The 27015-nt window shown below is 46.2% G+C and overlaps 2 protein-coding genes across 15 annotated transcripts in view; both read left to right on the top strand.

Annotated features, from left to right (window-relative positions):
- The window catches only part of ZNF329 (zinc finger protein 329), a 28857-nt gene extending 21670 nt beyond the window's left edge, over positions 1 to 7187 (top strand). For 6 of the 12 annotated variants that reach the window (XM_011527313.3, XM_011527310.3, XM_011527311.3 and 3 more), the window contains 2 exons: positions 759 to 796; positions 3924 to 7187. In XM_011527313.3, the coding sequence (XP_011525615.1) occupies positions 759 to 796; positions 3924 to 5557 (1672 nt within the window). In that variant the 3' untranslated portion in view covers positions 5558 to 7187. Of the gene's footprint in view, positions 1 to 758; positions 797 to 3323; positions 3498 to 3923 lie in introns of those variants that run through there. The other 6 variants (XM_006723384.4, XM_006723383.4, XM_011527316.3 and 3 more) reach the window with 2 other exon arrangements.
- Positions 7188 to 15008: 7821 nt separating this feature from the next.
- The window catches only part of ZSCAN18 (zinc finger and SCAN domain containing 18), a 34585-nt gene continuing 22578 nt past the window's right edge, over positions 15009 to 27015 (top strand). For 2 of the 3 annotated variants that reach the window (NM_001145542.1, XM_011527237.3), the window contains exon 1: positions 15009 to 15087. In NM_001145542.1, the coding sequence (NP_001139014.1) occupies positions 15039 to 15087 (49 nt within the window). In that variant the 5' untranslated portion in view covers positions 15009 to 15038. Of the gene's footprint in view, positions 15088 to 24131; positions 25831 to 27015 lie in introns of those variants that run through there. The other variant, NR_027135.2, reaches the window with a different exon arrangement.

The following is a 27015-nucleotide window of genomic DNA, read 5'->3' as shown; positions in this document are numbered from 1 at the left end:
TTTGTATCTTTTGTAGGGACGGGGTTTCACCATGTTGCCCAGACTGGTCTCAGACTCTTGGGCTCAAGTGACCCATCCACCTTGGCCTACCAAAGTGTTGAGAGTACAGGTATGAGCCACCACATCCAGCCTCTGAAACAGTCTTTATCTCACCTTTGCTCTTGAACAATAGTGTGACTGATAGATTTTTTCCTTCAGTGCTTTGAAAGTAGCCTTCCGTTACCTTTGGGTTTCCAGTTTTTCTATTAAGTGATCTATTGTAATAATTTTCGTCATTCACTGGTGGTTTCTCTTCTCTCTGCTGGCCTTTAAGACCATCTATTGGCCAGGCGCGGTGGCTCACGCCTGTAATCCCAGCACTCTGGGAGGCTGAGGCGGGCGGATCACGAGGTCAGGAGCTCGAGACCATCCTGGCTAACATAGTGAAACCCTGTCTCTACTAAAAGTACAAAAAATTAGCTGGGCGTGGTGGCAGACACCTGTAGTCCCAGCTACTGGGGAGGCTGAGGCAGGAGAATGGCGTGAACCTGGGAGGCGGAGCTTGCTGTGAGCTGAGATCGCACCACTGCACTCCAGCCTGGGTGACAGTGCAAGACTCTGTCTCAAAAAAAAAGAAAAAAGAAAAAGACCATCTATCTACGTAGGTATGGATTGATGTTCGTTTATCCAGCTTTCTGACTCTGAGATACCTACCAGTGGAACTGCTGGGTGGTAGAATATACCTAATTTATGTTTTCTTTTTTTTTTTTTTTTTTCAGACGGAGTCTCGCTCTGTCCCCCAGGCTGGAGTGCAATGGTATAATCTTGTCTCACTGCAACCTCTGCCTCCTAGGCTCAAGCGATTCTCCTACCTCAGCCTCCCGAGTAGCTGGGATTACATGCATGCGCCACCGCGTCCAGCTAATTTTTGTATTTTTAGTAGAGACATAGTTGCCCAGGCTGGTCTTGAACTCCTGACCTTAGGTGATCCACCTGCCTCAGCCTCCCAAAGTGCTGGGATTACAGGCGTGAGCCACTGTGCCTGGCTTAATTTTTGTATTTTTAGTGGAGGTGGGGTTTCACCATGTTAGTCAGGCTGGTCTCGAACTCCTGAGCTCAGGTGATCCACCCACCTCAGCCTCCCAAACTGCTGGAATTATAGGCGTGAGCCACCGCGCCTGCCCCCAGTTTATGTTTTCACAGCTGCCACTAAGGTACCCTGCCAAGCACGCTGACCACTTTCCAAGCCCTCTTCCCTTGTGACCTACCAAAGCTTTATATTATTGTACTTCATTTTATTTTTACTCACGTGAAATGTGTATATTTTGTGTTCTTAAAGTCGCAGTTTGGAATTGCCTGAATGATAGAATGAGAAAATAAATATTGATGTTTTCAGGACATTTCTTTTTTTTCTTTCTTTTTTTTTTTTTTTTGAGGCAGAGTCTCGCCCTGTTGCCCAGGCTGGAGTGCAGTGGCGCTATCGCGGCTCACTGCAAGCTCTGCCTCCCGGGTTCATGCCATTCTCCTGCCTCAGCCTCCCAAGTAGCTGGGACTACAGGCGCCCGCCACCACGCCTGGCTAATTTTTTGTATTTTTAATAGAGACGGGGTTTCACCGTGTCAGCCAGGATGGTCTCGATCTCCTGACCTTGTGGTCCACCTGCCTCAGCCTCCCAAAGTGCTGGGATTACAGGCGTGACCCACTGCTCCCAGCCAATGTTTTCAGGACATTTCTATTTTCCCTTCACGAAGTGCTCTTTGATTACTTTGCCCATTTTTTTTCTTTTTATGTGCTGTTCTGTAAGAATCCTCTGTAGTTCTTGGGCAGTAATTCTTTGTGCTTTTAAATCTTATTTTCTCTCTGTAAGAATCCTCTATAGCTCTTGGGCAATAATTCTTTGTGCTTTTAAGTCCTATTTTCTCCCTATCTGCCACTTGCATTTTGTCTCTTATTGTGTCTTTTATTGGATGGAAAATTTGAATGCTGATATCAGACTTCTTAATCCTTGTCTGTTTTTTATTTTTTGGTTTTTGTTTTTTGTTTTTAAGACATGGTCTCTTTTGCCCAATCTGGAATGCAGTGGCACAATTACAGCTCACTGCAGCCTCAGCCTTCTGTGTGGGCTCAAGTGATAACTCCCACTTCAGCCTCCCAGAGTGCTGGGATTACAGGCATGACCCCCAATGCTTGGCCATATGGTTTTTTGGTTAAGTTTTGTTGATCAAAGTCTGCCACACTTATGAAGGCATACTACATTATTTAAACTTTGACTTTATGTTGCAGCCTGTATCCTTCTGAAATGTAAATACACGCGCACACACACACACACACACACATATACACATATACATGTATATATATTTAAATTGCCTAGAATGTAGACATATATGTATGTATGTATTCTGAGGCAAGGGTCTATTTTCATTTTACCTTAAAAAATAGAAAGAAGGCTGGGCACAATGGCTCATCCCTGTATTTGCAGCATTTTGGGAGGCTGAGGTGGGATAATTGCTTGAAGTTTTTGAGATTGAGGCTTCAGTGAACCAAGATCACACCACTGCACTTCAGCCTGAATGACAGAGCGAGACCCGATCCCACCAAATGAATGAACGAATGAATGGACAACCAGTTGTCTTAATATTGTGAAGTCTGAATGGACAAGGATGGTGACAGGAAGATTGATATGCATGAAGACACATGCAACCATTTACAGAATGCCCTTCATCCCCTAGCCTTGGAGACTGCTTTGTACATGATCCAGTTTTTTTTTTTTTTTTTTTTTGAGACGGAGTCTTGCTCTGTGGCCCAGGCTGGAGTGCAGTGGCACGATCTTGGCTCACTGCAAGCTCCGCCTCCCGGGTTCGCGCCATTCTCCTGCCTCAGCCTCCCGAGTAGCTGGGACTACAGGCGCCCGCCACCACGCCTGGCTAATTGTTTGTATTTTTTTAGTAGAGACGGGGTTTCACCACGTTAGCCAGGATGGTCTCAATCTCCTGACCTTGTGATCTGCCCACCTCGGCCTCCCAAAGTGCTGGGATTACAGGCGTGACCACCGCGCCTGGCCGACATGATCCAGTTTTTATAACAACCATGCAGGGCAGTCTTTGACAGTTTTTGTTTTGTTTTGTTTTTTGAGATGGAGTCTCACTCTGCCGCGTAGGCTGGAGTGCAGTGGTGTGATCTCAGCTCACTGCAACCTCTGCCTACCAGGTTGAAGTGATTCTCCTGCCTCAGCCTCCAGAGTAGCTGGGACTACAGGCATGTGCCACCACGCCTGGCTGATTTTTTTTGTATTTTTAGTAGAGACGGTGTTTCACCATGTTGGTCAGGCTGGTCTTGAACTCCTGACTTCAAATGATCCACCTGCCTCCACTTCCCAAAGTGCTGGGATTACAGGAGTGAACCACTGTGCCCCGCCAGGTCATTGACAGTTCTAAGACTTAGACCCAGAACTTTTAGGTCACCAAGCCTGTGCTTTGTCCTATCCATGAATGCAGAACTTTGATGACAGAGCTGGGGTGAGAACTGTTCCTTCAGTGCTGTTGTAAGCTCATTGTGAAGTCAGAGCTTTGGAAATGTGTACTGATGGGCAGTGTGTGACAGGGACAAGAATGCAGTGGCTGGGATGGAATTCTAGGGGGAGCAGGGATGCTTGGCCTCTGGTCTCTCACATCTCAAACTAATCCTTTTGGTGATGATTTATCCCGAGGTCCATTCCTCCTGCCTGCTCTCTAGGAAGATGAAAATGCTACATGGCTCTTTTTGAATCTGTTCTTGGTTCCATTCCTTGGCTACGATTTTACCTCTTCCTTGTATAAATTTGAATTTAAAAGAGAAAACAAGTAAAAAAATACACATCTTTACACCTAGCCCATCATCATTGTCTGTTTCTCTTACAGATAAAGCTTCATATACCTAAGTCTGCATTTTTCTTCTTTTTGCAGTTTGGGATATGAGATTGAAAATGACGACTCGGAATTTTCCTGAGAGAGAAGTACCCTGTGATGTAGAAGTGGAAAGATTCACAAGGGAAGTTCCCTGCTTGTCCAGTTTAGGTGATGGTTGGGACTGTGAGAACCAGGAGGGACACTTGAGGCAATCAGCTTTAACTCTGGAGAAACCAGGGACTCAGGAAGCAATTTGTGAATATCCTGGTTTTGGGGAGCATTTGATTGCAAGCTCAGACCTTCCACCGTCTCAGAGAGTTCTGGCAACAAATGGTTTCCATGCACCTGACTCAAATGTTAGTGGTCTGGATTGTGACCCCGCCTTACCCAGCTATCCTAAAAGTTATGCAGATAAGAGAACTGGTGACAGTGATGCCTGTGGAAAAGGCTTCAACCATTCCATGGAAGTTATTCATGGAAGAAATCCAGTGAGAGAGAAGCCCTACAAATACCCTGAAAGTGTTAAGTCTTTTAATCATTTTACCTCTCTTGGTCATCAGAAAATAATGAAAAGAGGCAAGAAATCGTATGAAGGTAAGAATTTTGAGAACATCTTTACTCTGAGCTCATCGCTTAATGAAAACCAGAGAAATCTCCCTGGAGAGAAACAATATAGATGTACTGAATGTGGCAAATGCTTCAAACGGAACTCTTCTCTTGTTTTGCATCACCGAACTCACACCGGAGAGAAGCCTTATACTTGTAATGAGTGTGGAAAGTCCTTCTCCAAGAACTACAACCTGATTGTGCATCAAAGAATCCACACAGGAGAGAAGCCCTATGAATGCAGTAAATGTGGGAAAGCTTTCAGTGATGGCTCAGCTCTGACACAGCACCAGAGAATTCACACAGGCGAGAAACCTTATGAATGCCTAGAGTGTGGAAAAACCTTCAACCGAAATTCATCCTTAATTTTGCACCAAAGAACTCATACAGGGGAAAAACCATATAGATGTAACGAATGTGGGAAACCCTTCACTGACATCTCCCACCTTACAGTGCATCTCAGAATCCACACCGGTGAGAAGCCCTATGAGTGTAGCAAATGTGGAAAGGCTTTCCGGGACGGCTCGTACCTCACCCAGCATGAGAGGACTCACACTGGAGAAAAGCCCTTTGAGTGTGCAGAGTGCGGGAAATCCTTCAACAGAAACTCTCACCTCATTGTGCATCAAAAGATCCATTCTGGGGAGAAACCCTATGAATGTAAAGAATGTGGCAAGACTTTCATCGAGAGTGCGTACCTCATCAGGCATCAGAGGATTCATACTGGCGAGAAGCCCTATGGCTGCAACCAGTGTCAGAAACTTTTCAGGAATATCGCTGGCCTCATTAGGCACCAGAGGACTCATACTGGTGAGAAGCCCTATGAGTGTAATCAGTGTGGCAAAGCCTTCAGGGACAGCTCCTGTCTGACCAAGCACCAGAGAATTCACACTAAGGAGACCCCATATCAGTGTCCAGAATGTGGGAAGTCCTTCAAGCAGAACTCTCACCTGGCAGTACATCAGAGACTCCATAGCAGGGAGGGTCCCAGCCGGTGTCCTCAGTGTGGAAAAATGTTCCAAAAGAGCTCATCCCTTGTTCGACATCAAAGAGCACACCTGGGAGAGCAACCCATGGAAACATAATGGTTGGGGGCCACATGAGTCTTCCAGTTCACTCTCACTCCTGTGTTTAGGAGGCGTGTCTTAGATCTGACTCCTCTCTGGTCAGTAGAAAAGAATCCTTTAAGCTATCCAGTGAATTGATGAATGTGAGACATTGCTGAGCCACACTGTTAAGTCTGCTCATTGGGGAACTCCAGAGACAACTTAGGATGAGGGCAGAAAAGTCTTTGGGGATGATTCAGTCTGTACCAGACATGACAACACACACACTGGAATGAAATGTGCAAACATGGGGGTGACACCACAGAGAGAACCTGTGAATGCATTCAGAACATGATTGGAATGAAGAGCCCTGTAGTAGGGAGTTTCCACCTTGTACGTAAGCAAACACTGAATCAACTTTTTTTTTTTTTTCGGACAGAGTCTCACTGTGCAGTGGCATGATCTCCACTCACAGCAACCTCTGCCTCCCAGGTTCAAGCAGTTCTCCTGCCTCAGCCTCCAAAGTAGCTAGGATTACAGGTGCCTGCCACCATGCCTGGCTAATTTTTTCTATTTTTAGTAGAGACAGGGTTTCACTGTGTTGGCCAGGCTGGTCTTGAACTCCTGACCTCATGATCCGCCCACCTCAGCCTCCCAAAGTGTTGGGATTACAGGCATGAGACACTGCCTGGCCTGAATCAACCTTTTTTAAGTGTAATCAGAAAGAGAGGCTTTGGCAGGGGCTCTTACTGTGTTTTCTGTAACAACAAAGGTGTACAATGAGAGAGTCCACACAGTGCTGTACTGCACACACCACAGAATGTGTGAGATTTTCCTGTTTGAATGTATGTCTGCATTATACTCCTGCAATAATGCTGAGGACTCGTTGCAGGAGGGCAAACTAGGTGAATAAATTACCTGTGAATGAACAATGAAGTCGTTCCTCTTAAGACTGAAACAAGCAGGCCAGATGTGGTGGCTCACGCCTGTAATCCTAGCACTTTGGGAGGCCGAGGCGGCCAGATCACAAGGTTAGGAGTTCAAGACCAGCCTGGCCAGCATGGTGAAACCCCATCTCTACCAAAAATACAGGAAATTATCTGGGCATAGTAGTGTGTGCCTGTAATCCCAGCTACTTGGGAAGCTGAGGCAGGAGAATTGCTTGAACCTGGGAGGTGGAGGTTGCAGTGAGCTAAGATCGCACCACTGCACTCCAGCCTGGGTGACAGAGCGAGACTCCATTTCAAAAAAAAAGACTGAAACAAGCTTGTGCTAAGATGGAAAGGGCTGCTTCTAACAGATGTGGTTTGTTGCTTTAGTTGTTGAAGCAAAAATACTGAGTTGTTATGTTTATGTTATCACCCCACCACTACCTCCATGGTTGTTCATTTAGGATGCTTCTAATTCAGCCACTGTGAACCATTATAAAGGTTTTATTGCCATGTTGAAAATGTTTATAATATGGCAAAAAGGGGCATCAAATAGAAGATTTACTATTATTCCAGCCATGTAAAAATATGTGCACATATGGATGTATGTTGAAAGTGGATGATGGAGAAATAAAATGTGGTTTTCTTTGGGGACTGGAATTTTGTATCATATTTTTTTCTCTGTTACAGATACTTGTTGGCATAATAATTTGGTAATAAATTAAAAAGTGAAGCCAAAAGGAGGTTAATTTGGGGTTTCTTTGGACCTTTAGTAGTAGGGACTGGATCAGGGCAACAGGGAAGCTGTAAGTGTGGATGGAGGGGCATTGGGCAGTAGCGTCTCTGGAATCAGCATCCCAAAGCCCAGGGCATGAGAATAACTTCCTTCTTTGGGACTTGGGTTATAAGGGGTTGTCAGTGTAGAAGAGAGAGTGAGTCCCAGAGAATGGAGAACAGGAAGCCTGTAGAAAATTTGGGATGACTTTGGAGTGGCCCTTCCGAGGCAGTGCAGTACTGGCCGAGTGAAAGCCAGTCAAGGTGGATGACACAGCCTTGAAGCCCCATGAGTGGATCCCCTTGGGATTTTGCCTCTAGACAATTTCCTCTCCTGGGAGAAGGGACAGGTGTGACGATAGTGAAGATTAGTGATGAGTCAGTCCAGGACTGGGGTCAGCCAGGCCCATTGTATTAGCTGGATCAAGGTTCATGTGTGTGTGACCTGGTGTCTCCATGGTGCTGGTATTCTGAGGTCCGGACCCTCAGGCCAGCTCGTGGGGAGCTTCAAGCAGCCATGCCTCCTTCTCTGTGTGTGTTCTCTTTTGTCTGGCATCAGCTGTGGCCTCCATGGCACTTGCTGTCTCCCATGAGGCAGCCAACCTTGGTATGCCTCTGATAGCTGTGTCATGGGAAGGGTGGGCAGCCAGTCCTGAGAGAGGAATGAGTAGATAGGTAATGGAGGCACGGAGTGAAGAAGGGAAGAGTGGCCCTGAAAGAGCATTTAGAGAAGTAAAGCTCCCCCACACACATTGGGATATGGTGATCTCATGGTGAGAGGTGCAGGGGCATGGAGGACTAGCGGGGACCCTTGTTGAACCCTCTGGAGTCAGGATGGGATGGTGCTGTGTCCCAGGGTGTGGTGATGGATGAAAGGGGACCAGGCTGACTTGTCTTCTCCAGAGAGTTGCGTTTGAGTATAGCTCACATACAGAAAAGTGCACTGCAGACTCTCCTTGACCCAACTTAAATCAGGATCCCCTGAGCCCTCTGACCTTGGGCTTCTCCCTTTCCCTATAGGATCCAGTTTGAGCAAGATGTTTGGATGTGCATAGTAGCTCACACCTGTAATTTCACCACTTCAGGAGGCTGAGGCAGGAGGATTGCTTGAGCCTAGGCATTTAAGACCAGCCTGGGCAACATAGCAAGACCCCCATCTCTGCAAATAGTAATGTAAAAATTAGCCAGGTGTGATGGCATGTGCCTTTAGTTCCAGCTTATCAGGAGGGAGAGTCAGGAAGAAGGCAGAAGAATCTCTTAAGCCTGGGAGTTTGAGGCTACAGTGAGCCGTGATCACACCACTGCACTGTGGGCTGGATAATGGGGCAAGACCCTGTCTCAAAACAGAATCTGATATGGTTTGGCTCTGTGTCCCCACCCAAGTCTCATGTCAAATTGTAATTCTCTTGTTAGGGGAGGGACCTGGTGGGAGATGAATGGATCATGGGGGCAGATTTCCTCCTTGCTGTTCTCATGATAGTTCACATGAGACCTGCTTGTTTAAAAGTGTGTAGCACTTCCTTCTTCATTCACCCTCTTTCCTGCTCTGCCATGGTAAGACATGCTTACTTCTTCACCTTCTGCCATGACTGTAAGTTTCCTGAGGCCTCCCAGCCATGCTTCATGTACAGCCTGTGGAATCGTAAGTCAATTAAACCTCTTTTCTTCATAAATTACCGAATCTTAGGTAGTTCCTCACAGCAGTGTGAGAATGGACTAGTATAGAAAGTTGGTAACAGGAGTGGGGCACTGCTATAAAGATTCCTGAAGCTACTTTGGAACTGGGTAATGTGCAGATGTTGGAACAGTTTGAAGGGATCCGAAGAAGACAGGAAGTTGAGGGAAAGTGTGGAACTTCCTAGAGACTTAAATGGTTGTGACCAAAATGCTAATAATATGGACAGTGAAGTCTGGGCTGTGGTGGTCTCAGATAGAGATGAGGAACTTACTGGTAACTGGAATAAAGGTCACTCTCGCTGTGCTTTAGCAAAAAGACTGGCAGCATTGTGCTCCTGCTCTAGAGATCTGTGACAGACACAACTTGAGCTTGAGAAAGATTATTTAGAGTATCTGGCAGAATAAATTTCTAAGCAGCAGTGTTGGAGAGGTCGCCTGGCTGCTTCTTAAAGTCTGCACTCAATTGCATAATCAAAGAAATGACCTAAAACTATAACTTACATTTAAACTGGAAGCAAAGCATGAAAGTTTTGAAAATTTGCTGCCCATTTTCTGGCAGGAATCAAAGGCTGCAGAAATGTACATAAGTAAAGAAGAGCTGAAAGTTAATAGGCAAGATAATGAGCAAAATGCCTGCAGGGCATTTCAGAGACCTTCTCAGCCGCCCCTCCCATCACAAGCCTGGAGGCCTAGGAGAGAAAAATGGTTTTGTGGGCCAGGGTCCAGGGCCCCAGTGCTCTGTGCATCCTCAAGACTTGGCATCCTGCATCCCAGCTGCGTCAGTTCTAACTGTGGCTAAAGGAGGCCAATGTACAGCTTGGTCTATTGCTTCAGAGGGTGCAAGTCCCAAGCCTTGGCAGCTTACATGTGGTATTGGACCTGTGGGTGCACAGAAGGCGAGAGTTGAAGTTTGGGAGCCTCTGCCTAGATTTCAGAGGATGTATGGGAACACCTGGACGTCCAGGCAGAAGTCTGCTGCATGGGTGGAGCCCTCGTGGAGAACCTCTGCTAAGGCAGGGGGATGGGGGAAATGTGGGGTTGGAACCCCCACACAGAGTCCCCACTCAGGCACTGCCTAGTGGAGCTGTGAGAAGAGGGTCATCATCCTCCAGAGTCCAGAATGGTAGGTCCACCGTTAGCTTGCACCGTGTGCCTGGAAAAGCCACAAGCACTCAATACCAGCCTGTGAAAGCAGCCACAGGGGCTGTACCCTGCATTGCCACAGGAGTGGAGTGCCCAAGGCCTTGGGAGCCCAGCCCTTGCATCAGTGTGACCTGGATGTGAGAAATGGAGTCAAAGAAGATTATTTTGGAGCTTAAACATTTAATGACTGCCCTGCTGGTATTCAGACTTGCATGGGACCTGTAGCCCCTTTGTTTTGACCAAGTTCTCCCTTTTGGAATAGGGGAATTTACCCAATGCCTGTACCCTCCATTGTACCTTGGAAGTAACTCACTTGCTTTTGATTTTATGGGCTCATAGGTGAAAGGGACTTGCCTTGTCTCAGATGAGTCTTTGGACTTGCACTTTTGAGTTAATGCTGGAATGAGTTAAGACTTTGGGGGACTGTTGGGAAGGCATGATTGCATTTTGCAGTATGAGAAGAATATGAGATTTAGGGGTGGGACAGGGATAGAATGATATGGGTTAGCTCTGTGTTTCTGCCAAAATCTCATGTCAAATTGTAATTCCCAGTGTTGGGGGACAGACCTGGTGGGAGGTGATTGTATCATGGGGGTGGATTTCCCCTTTTGCTGTTTTCATGATAGTGAGTGAGTTTTCATGAGACCTGGTTGTTTAAAAGTGTGTAGCACTCCCCACTCCACTTTGATATCTGATCAAATTCCTTGTCCCCCACCTTCAATGTCTTCTTCCCTGGGCCTGCCTTTAGGAAAACTTCTCTTGAGTTGGTCTGGCAAGAATTCACCCCTTATCTCTGAGGTTTGCACTTAGTAATTTTTCATCCTCCAGACACCCTGCTGCTTCTCGGCTTTAAGCCCTCACTTGTTCTTGTCCAAGCTGGAGTTGAGTCTGGCCTCCCAAGCCCCTCTGTAGTAGCTTCTGGAATAAAGCCTGCCTCACCATGTGTTTGTATGAATGGAATTAGATGTCTGCCTGTTGCACAACATTGTGTAGGTTAGACTCATCCATGTTGCTGCAGGCAGCTGTGGTTTCTCCTCAGTGCTGTGTAATATTCCATGGTGTGGGCGCACTTGAACATGTGGATCTATTCACTGTGAGCAGTGGTTCTCATCCAGGGGCAATTTTGCCCCCAGGGGACATATGGAGACATCTGGGTGGTCATGATGAAGGGTGGCATCTGGCAGGTGGAGGCTGGGGCTGCTGCTAAACATCCTTCAAGGCTCATAATGGCCCCCACAGCAGAGTTATCCAGCCCAGGTGTGAGCTGTGCCAAGGCTTAAGTGTATACATTTCTTGTTCATACTTTCAAAAGAATGAACCCCATTATTGGGGAAAAGTCTTACATTCCCAGGATGTGTACAGTTATAAGTTACAGATTTATGTCTCTGTAGAAATGTGTGTATCATAAGACACAAATCCCTAGTGGACTGTCAGGAATGCCCAGGCTGGGCACTTCACTTTGGTGTCTGCAGCTCTCAAGTAAAATATGCAGGTGTTGCAGTTAGTGTCAGCAGCATCTCTACCTCTTGGTTCTACCTTTCAGATTCTGGGATGGACTCATCCCCTGACCAGTTGTGGCCAGAGAGTAAGCATTCTGAAGAAGTGGTGTCAACTATGATATTGGTATGAGCCCCATGGTTTTGTGTGAATTGTATTCCTCTTGATCTTTATTGAAAAAATTTTCTTAGGCTGGGCACTATGGCTCACACTTGTAATCCCAGGACTTTGGGAGGCTGAGGTGGGAGGATCACTTGAGTCCAGGAGTTTGGGACCAGCCTGGGCAACAGACAGAGACCCTATCTCTACAAAATGAAATGAAATAATAATAAATAAGCTTTTCTCAAATTAGCAGGAATCACTGCTGTAATGAACATGTAGTAGTCCTCCCTACCAAATCCAGGGGGATACATTCCAGTACCATGGTGGATGCCTAAAACCTCTTATGACACCAAACCGTATATACAGTTGTCCCTCTATATCTGTGGGAGATTGATTCCAAAACTGCCCTCAGACACCAAATCAGATGATGCTCAAGTCCCTCATATAAGATGGTGTGTATTTACATATAATCTACACACATCTTCCAGTGTACTTTAATGTCTAGGCTGGGCACAGTGGCTCAAGCCCGTAATCCCAGTACTTTGGGAGGCCAAGGCGGGCAGATCAGCTGAGGTCAGGAGTTCAAGACCAGCCTGGCCAACGTGGCAAAACCCCGTCTCTACTAAAAATACAAAAATTAGCTGGGTGTGGTAGCATGCACCTGTAATCCCAGCTACTAGAGAGGCTAAGGCAGGAGAATCACTTGAACCTGGGAAGTGGAGTCTGCAGTGAGCCAAGATCATGCCACTGCACTCCAGCCTGGGAGACAGAGTGAGACTCCATCTCAAAAAAAAAAAAAAATAGTAATGTTTAGATTACTTATGTTCCCTAATACAACGTAAATACTTTGTAATTTTTATACTGTATTGTTTAGGAGGTAATGATGAGGAAAAAAGTCTGCACACGCTCACTACAGATGCAGTGTTTTTTCAAATACTTTCAATCCAAAGTTGGTTGAATCTACAAATGTGGAACCCACGCATATGGAGGGCTAACTGTATACTATGTTTTTTCTTATACTTAACCTGTGATAAGGTTTAATTTATAAAATATTTTTTAAAGTAAAGGTTACTTGAACACAAGTACTGTGATACTATGATGGTTAATTTAATAACCAAGGTGGCTTCTAAAAGTAACTAATAGGGGGTATACAGTGTGGACACACTAGACAAATGCCTGGTTCCCATCCTGGGCGGGATGGTGTGGTACAGCATGGGATTTAATCATGCTACTCAGAGCAGTGTGCAATGTGAAACTTATGAATTGTTTATTTCTGGATTTTCCATTTAATATTTTCAGACCACAGTTGACCTCGGGTAACAAAGGTGGAGAAGTGAAACTGCCAATCAGGAGAGGCTACTGTAATTCAATCACAGAGGATAGAAACTCCTGACCAAAGAGAATATGAGATGTGGACTAGGTGAGTTCCAGATGGATTCTGGGGTAGCCTGGGCCATTGCAAGTTTGGCTGAAATGAGTGGGACATGAGATAGAGAAGAAGGTATCCTGGATTATCTGGATGGGCCCAATCTAGCACACATGCCCTTAAAAGCAGAGATTGTGGGCTGGAGTCAGATGCTGAGGAAGGAGCGAGTAGAGAGCTGAAGTGTGAGGAATCTACTCCCTGTTCCTGGCTTTAAAACTGGAAAGGGGCTGGGCACAGTGCCTCACACCTGTAATCCCAGCACTTTGGGAGGCCGAGGTGGATGGATCATTTGAGGTCAGGAGTTTGAGACCAGCCTGACCAACATGGCAAAACCCATCTCTACTAAAAATATAAAAATTAACCGGGCATGATGTCATGCACCTGTAATCCCAATTGCTTGGGGGTCTGAGGCAGGAGAACTGCTTGAACCTGGAAGGCAGAGGTTGCAGTGAGCCAAGATCGTACCACTGCACTCCAGCCTGGGCAACAGAACAAGACTCCATCTCAAAAAAAAAAAAAAAAAAACCAAAAAACCAACTTATGTTCATCAGAAAGCAATATTATGCAAGTGAAAGGGCAAGTGACAGAGTGGGAGAAGACCATTGTAGAGCCAACAAAAGATTGGCCTCCAAATATATAAAGAACTCAGCATCTCAATAAGAATGCAACTTAATAGAAAAGTTGGCAAATGACTTGAACCAGCCCCCTCATAAACAAGGAAAAGTCCAAATGGCCAATAAGTGCATGAAAGTGTGCCCAACTTTACTACTAATCAGAGAAACCACAATGAGATGCTACTTCACATCACACTAATGGCAAAAATGAAAACAACAGATAGTACCAAGTGTTGACAAGAATGGGGAGCAACTGGGAATCTTATACACCACTGCAGGGGGCACTGTAAACTAGTGTTATCTCCTAACCTGAACAGGTGCACCCATGAAGAGACAGCTGCAGTCCTAGGCATTCACCCAACAGAAATACAAACCTGCTTATCAAAAGATGCACACACAATGTTCACAGCAGGTTCCTTTGTAGTAACTCCCAACTGGAAACAGCCCAAATATCCACTGACAGGAAGGAAAATGAGCAAATGGTGTATTCACAGTGGAGCATTTTATACGATCACATAAAATGATTATTGTGCCCTGGAGGATTACACAACCAAGTGAAGTGGTTATTGCACCATGGAAGATTACACAACCACATGAAAGGGTTATTGTGGCGTAGAGTATTACACAGCCTTGTAAAGTGGTTATTGTGCCATAGAGTGTTATGCAATGGCGTAAAGTGGTTATTTTGGCACGGAACCTTATGCATGGCAATGGGTTTTTGTGCCATGGAGAGTTACACAACCGCATGAAGGGGTTATTGTGCCATGGAGTCTTACATAACTGCGTAGAGGGGTTATCGTGTCGTGGGGTCTTATACAACCGTGTAAATGGGTTATTTTCGATGGAGCATCACACAACTGAGTAAAATGGTTATTGTGCACGGAGCGTTAAACGACCGCATGAAGGTGTCAGCGTCCATTGGCGCGTTCCACACCCCTGTAGAGGAGTGACTCCAGGCCCCAGTCCCCGACGCCGTGAGAGGAAGGAGACACAGCAGCCTACGAGTGGGACCCGTGTGAACGAGATTCTGCCGAGACCACGCGCGCCCAGGGTGGTGCAGGCTCGCAAGCGGATATACGGCTGGTCAACCTGAGAGACAAGGTGCTCGTCCGCAGCGGCTCAAGGCAGCCCACGTGCGCTCCCGGCGTCTTTCCGTCTGTTAAACCTCACCTACCAGCAGAAGCGAAGGACAAAGAACCCCGAAAGGCAGCACTGCGAGCGCTCCCAGGTTCTGGCTGCCAGGCAGCTGCGGCCACGGCCCCGCCCCGGGCCGGCCCCGGCCCCGCCCTCGTCGCACTAGGCCCCGCCCCCAGCGTCCGGTGTCACCGGAATATCGCATCCGGGAACTCTGCGCGCCCATGCGGAGAGTCGGAGGGCGAGCTGACGAGGACGCTACGGCGGCGGGAAGTGAGTTCCGTCCTCTCGCGGCCTCTCGGGTCTGTTTCCTCCGTTCCCGCCCACCGGTCGCGGAGCCAAGGCCTAGTGAGGGTGGGGTCAAGGACTCCAGAGCGGCTGGGGCTGGGCGGTGGCTGCGTGGTCGCTCTTTCTGTCTGTGAGGGTACGCGGCAGCCCTGCTCTGGGCAGGGGCTTGTTAGGGGCGCTGGCTTGTGGTTCCCGGCGGGGCGGGCGTGAGGAACTCTCTCCGCCAGGCGCGGACCGTCCCGCGTGTCTTCTCCCCTTGGCGTGCGGGGCTGGTACGCGCATCTCCTCGCCGGGCGCGGACCCCCTAACGCCTCTCCCCGCAGGGCGCGAGCCCTCTACTCTCCTTTCGTGGTGGGGCGCGGACCCCTACTCCCTCCTCTTCGTTGGGCGTGGGCCCCCATACCCTTCTCCCCAGTGCGGTGCCAACTCCGAATTTCCTCTCCCTTCGCCCTGTGGAGCACGGACCCTCTAACTCTCTCTCCTAGTGGGCGCAGGCCCCCTTTGGGGCGGGGGCTCATTTCTCTTCCTCTACCCTCCCACTGGGGCGGATCCCTTTTTTTTTTTCGCCTGTCCCTTAACCTCAGCCTCCCCAATATTCTCTTTTTTTTTTTTTCCTGCGGGCACAGATGGCCTTTTCTCACCTTCCCAGGGTATGGACCCCTCCTCTCTTCCTGCACAGGTGCGGACGCCCCTCCCTTCTGCCTCTCCTCACAAGATTTGGGCTTGAACAACCTATTCTGCTTCCCGTGTCTTACTCCCAAGGACGCTTTCCCCACTTTTCATCCTACTCCTCCTAACAACCCTGTTCTTCCTCTCCTTTATCCCAAGAGATGGCTTCCTCCTCTGCCCCTTTAGGGTTGTGTGTTCCTTCCCCTTCCTACCCACTGTGAACATTCCCAGCCAGGCTTCCTCCCATCCCTGCTGGGTTCTGACTCCACTGACTTGCCCTTCCTCCCTTCCCTGCGGTTGTATACTGGGCTGCCCTCTCCACAAACCTCTGATGCCCGAATGCTGACCCCCAGGGACAGGCCTCTCAGACTTTGGGATCCTCAGCTGAGCATCTACTCTCCCCCAAACTCAGTCTTTCTAGTCTCTCCAAGTGGTGACTCCCTCCACCCACAATCCTCTTTGTCCACCTGGATATTTCTCTTTTCCCCAATCCCCACATCGTCTCTGTCCAAAATCCCATGGCTTAACCTTTAAGATATTTCCAGAATTCAGTTAGCTGGGCGTTTTACAATGACATAAATTAAAATTCAAAAGTAGTGTCAGAGGATCTCACATGTCCCCTAAAGCACGCGCTTTTAATCCCAGCTGCTCGGGAGGCTGAGGCAGGAGGATCGCTTGAACCTGGGAGGCGGAAGTTGCGGTGAGCCAAGATCATGCCACTGCACTCCAGCACTGACAGAGCGAGACTCTGTCTCAAAAAAATAGAAGTAAAAAAGATATTTCCAGAATTTAGCCACATCACCACACCTCTACTCTCTGGTACGGGCATCTCCTTGCTCCCGTGCCTCTGGCCTCCTCACGATTCAGTGGAAGCCTGTCAGGTCACATCTGTCCTCTAAACACTCTCCTTACTCAGTAACAGGCAGAATCCTCACATGCCCTAGGACTGGGGCTGCTAGGCTAAGGACTGTTTGCTGCTGGGTTGCAGGTGATGATGATGGAGCTTGCATCAGGTGAAATTCCGTGCCCTAGCTTCTTCCTTCGGCAGTTCATTCTCTGAGGTTGCTTGGCTTTTGAGTTGTGGGCAGTGGATAGAGATTGGGACGGTTTGGGAAAGGAGCTGTAACTCAGAAACTGGATTGCAGGTATGTGCTTCCTCAGTTTGCAGAGCGTTTGATAGTGACAGATTCTGCAGTTCTTTGCCTATTCCCATACCAGAATGCCTACTCTGTGAGGTGGAGGTCTTCATCTGTCTGATCCACTGCTGAATTATTGATACCTAGAACAGGTCCTGGCATACAGTACGTGTTCAGTAAATGTTTGCAGAATGAAAGAAAAAGAGCCATCCTTGTGACCACAGGAAGCTGGCCCTTTTCCCACAGACTTAAGATCACAGAGGGGGTGTGTGATGAATTCACTGCACATTTATCTAGTGTGCCCAGGCCGTTTTTTGGGGGTTTTTTTTAGAGTTTTTTCCTTTGTGATATCCAGTGCCTCGGGCAATATGGAGTATGGGGTGTTTGTGTGTGCATGCGTGCGTGTGTTTGAAATTGGCATGCTTTATGTGCTACAAGACTTTGCAACCTTCTTCTCTCCCCAACCTTGTACTAGGTGAAGCTTTCAGTACACCGGCCTTCACTGCTCTATACTATTCTACCTTGTGAAAATGCCACAGTTTTTTTTGTCTTGCCTTTCCTGTTGATGAACATCTTGGAAGTTTCCAGGTTTTCAGCGTTTCCACCAGTGCTTTAGGGAGGCAAGTTGAATGTGTATCCTTGTAAGGGTTTTTCTAGCCTGTAGGTTTTCAAAATTTTCACACAAGCATTGAGAGAAACATGTACATGATGACTTGCATGCATACTAACTGTAACAAAAGTTTGATGAAACCACGCTTGCTAAATGTGAGATCCTCTGATACTACTTTTGAATTTTAATTTGTCATTGTAAAAAGGATGCCAGTGTGGATCCACCACATCTCTTGGCATTTAGAATTTTTTATTTCAACCTAGTTCTTCTGAATTGTTCTTCAGAGAGGCTGTGGCATTTCTTATACTAACAAAGACATGTTAATGTTGTGGGAACTACCCGTAATATAATGTTAACTAGGAAAAACAAAAAAGGACCCAAGTTATATACACACGTTGACTCCACCTGTTTCAAAATGATTCTCTGTGAAGAAAACAGGAAGTAAATGCACCCAAGGCTCAACAGTGAGATTATAGATTATTTTTATTGTCTTTGTACTTATTTATGTTTTCCAGATTTTCTGCAATGAACATGCATTAATTCTGCAGTGATATCTTTAATATAAAATATTTAAATGGAATTTGAAGTTTTATTTAAATAGTAAGCTCCCTGTTGAATCCAGAATAGAATTATATTTGCCCTATTTTCACTTACTTGTCTTCTCAGAAACAATATTTAGCTCACAAACAGATTAAATAGGATTGAACTTGGATCAGCTGCCAACCACTGGGAGCAGCTAGAGGGCCAGTTGATTCCAGGGTTTGCCCCAGGAACCTGTGAGTGCTTTGGATAGCTCTGCCTTGCCCTGACTCCAGTTCTTAGTGGCTGACACTTCTGGCCTTCCTTTAGTGTCCTGCAACAAAACCTATTGCCTGGAAAGGGCCTTACAAACTAGCATTTTCCCAGTTGGTAACTCCATAGTTGTTTTTTAACAGCTTCTAGCGCTAGCATCATATTTTTCCCCCTTGAACACTTACAACCGTCTCTTGAATGCCTTTTGAGAAACCTGTTATAAGTTCACCTCACCAAGGTGTTAATGAATGATGATCCTGGAATATCTCTCCAGGAGGCATTTATATTTCCCCTGCCTACTTTATATTTTGACAAGTTTCTGAAATACTCTAACAGAAAAGTTGAGAAAAAAGAGTATCATGAATGCCCATCACCCACTCCGAGATTCACCAATTAATATTTTGCCATATTTGTTTTATGTGCCTGTAATATATAACACACTATATATTTATTAATGTATATTTGTGCATACGTGTATATATACATACTTGTTTATATATTTGGGGGCATATGTGTGTATACATGTATTTTTGTATGTATATATGTATGTGTATATTGTGTATATATTTATATAATGTACATTTGTATATTTATCTGTGCGTATATGTATTATGTGTGCATGTGTTTAAGTATATGTATGTCTACATGTATATATATTTATTACAAGTATGACACTTTACTCATAAATATGTTGGCACATACATTCTAAGAATAAAGACATTCTTTTGCATAACCATAATACTGTATCACACCTAAGAAAATGAGCAATAATTTCCTGTTATCATGTGATAACCCATCCTTTTCAAAATTTCCCAATTCCTAATTATATTATGACATTATTATTATCATCTTTTTTTTGAGACAGAGTCTCGGCCTGTTGCCCAGGCTGGAGTACAATGGCATGATCTTGGCTCACCACAACCTCTACCTCCCAGGTTCAAGTGATTCTCCTGCCTCAGCCTCCCAAGTAGCTGGGACTATAGGCACGTGCCACCATGCCGTGCTAATTTTTGTATTTTTAATACAGATGGGGTTTCACTATGTTGGCCAGGCTGGTCTTGAACTCCTGACCTTGTGATCTGCCCACCTTGGCCTCCCTTAGTGTTGGGATTACAGGCGCGAGCCACCACGCCCAGCCTTATTATTTTTTGAGCTGGAGTCTCTCTGTTGCCCAGGCTGGACTACAGTGGCACGATCTTGGCTTATGGCAACCTCTGCCTCCTGGGTTCAAGTGATTGTCCTGCCTCAGCCTCCCGAGTAGCTGGGATTTCAGGCGCATGCCACCACACCTGGCTAATTTTGTATTTTTAGTAGAGATGGGGTTTCACCATGTTCCCTAGGCTGGTCTCGAACTCCTGACCTCAAGTGATCCACCCACCTCAGCCTTCCAAAGTCCTGGGATTATAGTCGTGAGCCACTGCGTCCAGCCATTATGGTATTATTTTTGAGCCAAGTCTTACCACGGTTGTGAAAAGAAATTGAATTTTGGGACTCCAAACTCATTTAGTCAAAGAGAAAAGTCAAGCTGGAAACTGGGTCAAGCAAACCTGCCTCCCCTGTTCCTAAATAAGGTGGCTACAAGATGAAATGCTACATGCCTCCCCCATATTTTGCCCACAAAGAAATTCCTGGTGAGCTGTTGTGAAAACTTCACCATGGCAATGCAAATTGATAGCTTATCTTTACAAGTGCAGTCACCCCGGCATCCCAGACACAAATGCGTATCTGATTGTTCCCCTGCCCCATTTTGTCTGTGTTATCCTAATGCAGATTCCCCACATTTTTCTTCTGCCCCGCCTTTTTTTTTTTGGAGACAGAGTCTTGCTTTGTCACCCAGGCTTGAGTGCAGTGGCGTGATCTCGGCTCACTGCAAGCTCCGCCTCCCGGGTTCACGCCATTCTCGTGCCTCAGCCTCCCGAGTAGCTGGGACTACAGGTGCCCGCCACCACACCTGGCTAATTTTTTTGCATTTTGAGTAGAGATGGGGTTTCACCGTGTTAGCCAGGATGGTCTCGATCTCCTGACCTCGTGATCTGCCTGCCTCGGCCTCCCAAAGTGTTGGAATTACAGACGTGAGCCACTGCGCCTGGCCCTTGACCCTTTTGTTTATGTGAAAATTGTGTTTCTCAATATCCTGACCTGTCCCCTTTAAATTCTTTTTTTTTTTTTTTTTTTGAAACGGAGCCTTGCTTTATCGCCCAGGCTAGAGTGCAGTGGTGTGATTTTGGTTCACTGCACCTTCTGCCTCCCAGGTTCAAGTGATTCCCCTGCTTCAGCCTCCCGAGTAGCTGGGATTACAGTTGCCCGCCACCATGCCTGGCTAATTTTTTGTGTTTTTAGTAGAGAAGGGGTTTCACCATGTTGGCCAGGCTAGTCTCAAACTCCAGACCTCAGGTGATCTGCCCCCCTCGGCCTCCTCAAGTGCTGGGATTACAGGCGTCAGCTGAGCTTGGCCTAAACTTTTTTTTCTTTTTTTTGAGACAGTCTTGCTCTGTCGCCCAGGCTGGAGTGCAGTGGTGTGATCTCGGCTCACTGCAATCTCCGCCTCCTGGGTTCACGCCATTCTCCTGCCTCAGCTTCCCGAGTAGCTGGGACTACAGGTGCCTGCCAGCACGCCCAGCTAATTTTTTTGTATTTTTGGTGGAGACGGGGTTTCACTGTGTTAGCCAGGATGATCTCGATCTCCTGACCTCGTGATACGCCCACCTCGGCCTCCCAAAGTGCTGAGATTACAGGCGTGAGCCACCACGCCCAGCCTTGAGTATGTTTTTTAATCATGCCAGGGTGTTGGGGCTAGACGCAATGGCTCACACCTGTAATCGGGACATTTTGGGAGGCCGAAATGGGCGTATCGCTTGAGCACAGGAATTTGAGACCAGACTAGGCAAAGTGGCAAAAACCCCATCTCTGCAAGAAATACAAAAATTACTGGGAATCTTGCCTTGTGCATGTAGTCCCAGCTATGGGGAGACTGAGGTGGGAGGATCACCTTACCCCAGGGCAGTCGAGGCTTCAGGGAGCCATGATTGCACCACTGCACTCCAGCCTGGGTCACAGAGTAAGACCTGGTCTCAAAAACAAAAAAGTAAAATAAAATAAAAAGTAAAGAAAGGCAGGGGTCGGGTTTGGAATTTTGTCCAATGCTTTTAATGCATCATTTGAGATGGTCGTGTTTTTTTCTTTATCCTGTTATTGTGATGTCTTACATTAACTAATTTTCGCATGTTGAAATATCCTTGCATTCCATGAACAGTCCTACTTGCTCGTGGTGTGTAATCCTTGTAATACACTGATGAATTCAACATTTAAGGGATATGGTTTCTAGGTTTCTTGTAGTGTGCTTGCCTGGCTTTGGTATCAAGGTAATGCTAGCCTCATAGGATGAGTTAGGAAGTGTTCCCTCCTGTTTTGGAAGAGTCTGAGAGGAATTGGTATTAATTCTTCTTTAATTGTTTGGTACATGCTGGGCATAGTGGCTCATGCCAGTAATCCCAGGACTTTGGGAGGTCAAGGTGGGAGGATTGCTTGAGGCCAGGGGTTGATGACCAGCCTGGACAACATAGTGAGACCATGTCTCTATTTAAAAAAAAAAAACAAAAAAACAACTTTATAAGTAGCTGCACATGGTGGTGCATACCTGTAGTCCTAGCTACTTTGGAGACTGAGGCAGAGGATTAATTGAGCCCAGGATTTGGAGGCCACTGTGAGCTGTGATCACACCACCGCATTCCTGCCAGGGTAGCAGAATGAGACCCTGTCTTAAAAAAAATTTTTTTCGGGGGGTTCAGTTTTAACCATGCAAACAACCATGAGAGCTACTGTTGAATGACAAGTCCAAGACAAGAGCATGTGGATGGTGCAATCCTGCTCACATGGAGTTCAGGGCCAATCAAAGCAGTCTGTAGTAATGGAGGTCAGAGCAGCGATTACCTCCAGAAAATGGGAATTTTTTTTTTTTGAGACGGAGTCTTGCTCTGTCGCCCAGGCTGGAGTGCAGTGGCGCGATCTCAGCTCACTGCAAGCTCCGCCTCCCGGGTTCACGCCATTCTCCTGCCTCAGCCTCCCGAGTAGCTGGGACTACAGGCGCCCGCCACCACGCCTGGCTCATATTTTGTATTTTTAGTAGAGATGGGGTTTCACTGTGTTAGCCAGGATGGTCTCCATCTCCTGACCTCGTGATCCACCTGCCTCAGCCTCCCAAAGTGCTGGGATTACAGGCGTGAGCCACCGTGCCTGGCCTAAAAATGGGTATGTTTTATATCATGGATTGTCATACACACATGGAGTGTGCATACACATATGAACACTCATGAAAATACATCTAAAGACTCAGTGAGTCATCCACTTTGAATTTATTCTGTTTAAATTATGCTTCAATTTATAATAAAAGGGTGATTATAACTTGGACCACAGTGGTGGAGGAAGTGTAAATTGGTAGGATACTGTGTGTATTTGAAAGTCAAAGCTGATAGCTTAGGTGTGACTTTTGAGAAAAGGGAGAGTGGAGAATGGAGTATGTTCCATCCCAGTGGAGCAGGTTTCTGGCCTCTTCCACTGAGAAAATGGGATGGCTGTTTACTGGGATTGGGAAGACTCAGGGAGAAGCAGCATGGGCCATGCCACAGCTTTTGGTCTCTTCAGGGTGTAATGATGGGCAGATCTCTAAGGGTTGGGTGGCCTAGACAGTCCAGTATGCATGTCTGGATTCAGAGGGGCCGAGTGGGTTGGGAGGCCTGGACAGTCTAGTATGCATGTCTGGATTCAGAGGGGCCGAGTGGGTGGGACAGGTGAAGGAAGAATGGTAATGGGAGTGGAGAGGAGAGTGGAAGATGATTTCTGTTTGGATAGACAGAAAAGCAAAGCATCAGGAGACACTGAAGAAGCATCTTGGGGACAGTTGGAGATCAAGTTCTTCTCAGTGAAGGGACTTCAGAAATACAGCTAGAGGATGGGCATGGTGGCTCACACCTGTAATTGCAGAACTTTGGAAGGCTGAAGCCGGAGGAGCACTTGAGGCAAGGAGTTTGAGACCAGCCTGGGCAACATAGTGAGACTTGTCTCTACAAAAAATAATTTTTAAAAAATTTTCTGTGAGTGGTAACATGCACCTGTGGTCTCAGCTACTCAGGAAGCTGAGGTGGGAGGAGCCTAGGAGATTGAGTTCAGGCTGGGCAACATAACCAGAACCTGTCCCTTTTTAAAAATCATAATATCTAAAGTGATATTTATTCACTATCCTTCATCCATCTTTATATTCTCTTCCTACCATGCAGGTGTATAACTGAAAAAAAATCTATGTTAATTTTTTAAAAATCTGGCTAATTTATTTGGTAGGATGTGTGTGTGTGTGCACATATGATTTTGTAAAAGCTTTTCCTGGAAGTATACATGCTAAAAAATACATAAATGTAAAACTAGAAGTTTTCACAAAGTAAATATACTGTGCACTTTCAGTATATATACTTCCTCTTTCAAATAATATGCCTGAGAAATGTACCCATATTTTTGTGTACTCTTAGTTTATTCACTTTTGTTAATGTGTGGTATTTCATCATGTAAGTAAACCACAAGTTTTCCATTTCCCAGTTGGTGACATTTGGATAGTGTCTAGTCTCGGGCTATTAGAAAGAGTGTTTCTATGAACATACATACACATTTCTTTTGATTGTACCCTTGCAAGTGGAATTGCTGTGTCACAGAATGGGCACAGCATCAGATATAATAGATACTGGCCTGGCTGATTTTAATGTTTACACATTACCATTCTAACTCTAGCAATTTTTTCTCTAAGGATTCAAAAATTTTCCCCTTTTCCTTTCCAGCCTGGGAAACAAAAGTCAAATGGAAGCATCAACTTGGGATGGTGTTGGGAAGGAACTATCCAATTTGGTGAAAATAAAAAGGTTCATCAGGGATGATTCCTGTTTTATCTGCATTAGGAGAGGTCTGGGAATGTGAGGACCAGGTAGAAATGCTCCATAGAAATCCAGAGGTGCATTTGAGGCAAACAGCATCCACACACAAGGACCCAGAGCATCTATGAGGGGCTGTGGTCACCATGACCATTGTGGTCATCTGCTCAGTCCTAGCTTCATGTCAAAGAGGTCCTCAAACAACAGGTTTCTGTGAACATGACTCAAAGGTTAAACATTTTAGTTACATACATAATTGTCAGAAAGGCTCTAACGGTCAAATTCTTGAGGAAAATGATGACTGTAGAGCAGCCATCAGCCAGGGTGGACAACCTAGCCACCTTGATGAAGATCTAACAAGGAGATGAGCCTTCAAAATGTAACGAAGGTGGTAACTCCTTCAGCCTTTCTACACACCTTAGTGAACAACATGTAATTGCCAGAGAAAGGAACAACACAAAGGAGAAGGACACGAGGAGGTGTTTGATAGGGACACATGTCCTTATGAACACAATGGAAGTATCTCTGGAAATGAATACAATGACAGTGAATGTGGACTGTCCGTTAGACCGAAATCTCATTTCATCAGTCACCAGAGGACTCATACTGGAGAGAGCCCTTATACCTGTAATGACTGTGGAAAATCCCTCTCTAAGAATTACAACCTGATTGTACATCAAAAAATCCACACAGGAGAGAAATCCTATAAATGCAAGAAGTGGGAAAGCCTTCAGTGCTGGCTCCACCTTTACCAAGCATGAGAAAACCCACATAGGAAAGAAGCCCTGTGAAAGGAATTGGTATGGGAAGACCTTCAGCTGCCACTCTTCCCTTGTTTTGCATTTCAGAAGTCATACTGTGGAAAAACTATTCGAATGTAATGAATGTGAAAAATCCTTTTCTGATGTCTCCAACCTTATTGTCCATCTGAGAATTCACATGTGAGGGGAGCCCTATGTATGTACTGGGTGTAGAAAGGCCTTCATTGATCACACATAACTTATTAAACATGGGAGAATTCACATTGGAAAGAGACCCTATATGTGTATGGAGTGTGAAAAATTCTCCAACCACAACAGTCAGCTCTTTTGCATCAAAAAAATCATTCTGGAAAGAAATCTCATGAGTTAAACAATGTGAAAAAATCTTTCACTGAGATTATGTACCTCATCAGGCACAAGAGGATTCATACTGGTGAGAAGGTCTGTGGCTGTAACCAGTGTCAAACTTTTCAGGAACATCGCGGGCCTCATCTGGCACCAGAGGACTCATACTGGTGAGAAGCCCTACGAGTGTAATCGGTGTGGCAAAGCCTTCAGGGACAGCTCCTGTCTGACCAAGCACAAGAAGGTACATGCTCAGGCGACCTTGTGCCAGTGTGTCTAGTGTGGGAAAGTTTTCCCAAGTATCTGTGCTCTCGCTAGAAACCAGAGTTGACACATTGGACTGAGACCTATGGGGATTCAGTGAGCATCTGTGGCAGTGACTGATCTGATTTTCTTTGCCTCCTCTTTGTCAGAGACTTCATGTTGAAGAGTTTATGTTGTTTGAAAGTAACAAATATGTTTTTCCATCTATAAATGGAAGAAAAAATCCTGGATGACAGCACATGTGTTTACCGCATGGTGCACTCAATATTTTATTTTATTTTTGAGACAGAGTTTCACTCTTGTCACCCAGGCTGCAGTGCAGTAGTGTGATCTCAGCTCCCTGCAGCCTCTGCCTCTTGGGTTCAAGCGATTCTCCTTCCTCAAACTCCTGAGCAAGTAGCTGGGATTACAGGTACCCACCATCACACTAATTGTTTTGTATTTTTTTTAGTAGAGATAGGGTTTCACCATGTTGGTCAGGCTGGTCTTGAACTCCTGACCTGAAGTGATCTGCCCACCTTGGCCTCCCAAAAGTGATGAGATTACAGGCATGAGCCACCATGCCCGGCCTGTGCTGAATATTTTAAACCCACTGTTGAGACTTCCTCAGAATAAAGATTCCTTTCAAAATATGGCTGCTTGTTGACAAGAGCTGTGATGAAGATGTACAGGGAGATGAATGTTGTTCTCACACCTGCTAACACAACATGTATTCTGCAGCCCATCATAGATCAGGAGTAATTTTGACTTTCCAGTCTCATTATTCAAGAACAGATGTCTTGGCCAGGCACGGTGGCTCACGCCTGTAATCCCAGCACTTTGGGAGGCCAAGGTGGGCAGATCACGAGGTCAGGATTTCGAGACAAGCCTGACCAACATGCTGAAACCTCATCTCTACTAAAAATACAAAAAAAAATTAGCCAGGCGTGATGGTGCACACCTGTAATCCCAGCTACTCAGGAGACTGAGGCAGGAGAATTGCCTGAAGCTGGGAGGCAGAGGTTGCAGTGAGCAGAGATCGAGCCACTGCACTGCAGCCTGGGAAACAGAAGGAGGCTCCATTTCAAAAAAAAACAAAAAAACAAAAAAAACAGATGTCTTTTTTTCTTTCTTTCTTTTTTTTTTTTTTTTTTTTTTTTTGAGACGGAGTCTCGCTCTGTCGCCCAGGCTGGAGTGCAGTGGCGGGATCTCGGCTCACTGCAAGCTCCGCCTCCCGGGTTCACGCCATTCTCCTGCCTCAGCCTCCCAAGTAGCTGGGACTACAGGCGCCCGCCACTACGCCCGGCTAATTTTTTTTGTATTTTTAGTAGAGACGGGGTTTCACCGTTTTAGCCGGGATGGTCTCGATCTCCTGACCTCGTGATCCGCCCGCCTCGGCCTCCCAAAGTGCTGGGATTACAGGCGTGAGCCACCGCGCCCAGCCA

The sequence above is a fragment of the Homo sapiens genome, chromosome 19 (genome assembly GCF_000001405.40).
Source record: "Homo sapiens chromosome 19, GRCh38.p14 Primary Assembly".
Taxonomy (NCBI): Eukaryota; Metazoa; Chordata; class Mammalia; order Primates; family Hominidae; genus Homo; species Homo sapiens.
Note: the sequence above shows the minus strand (reverse complement) of the source record. Positions and strands in the feature narration are given on the sequence as shown.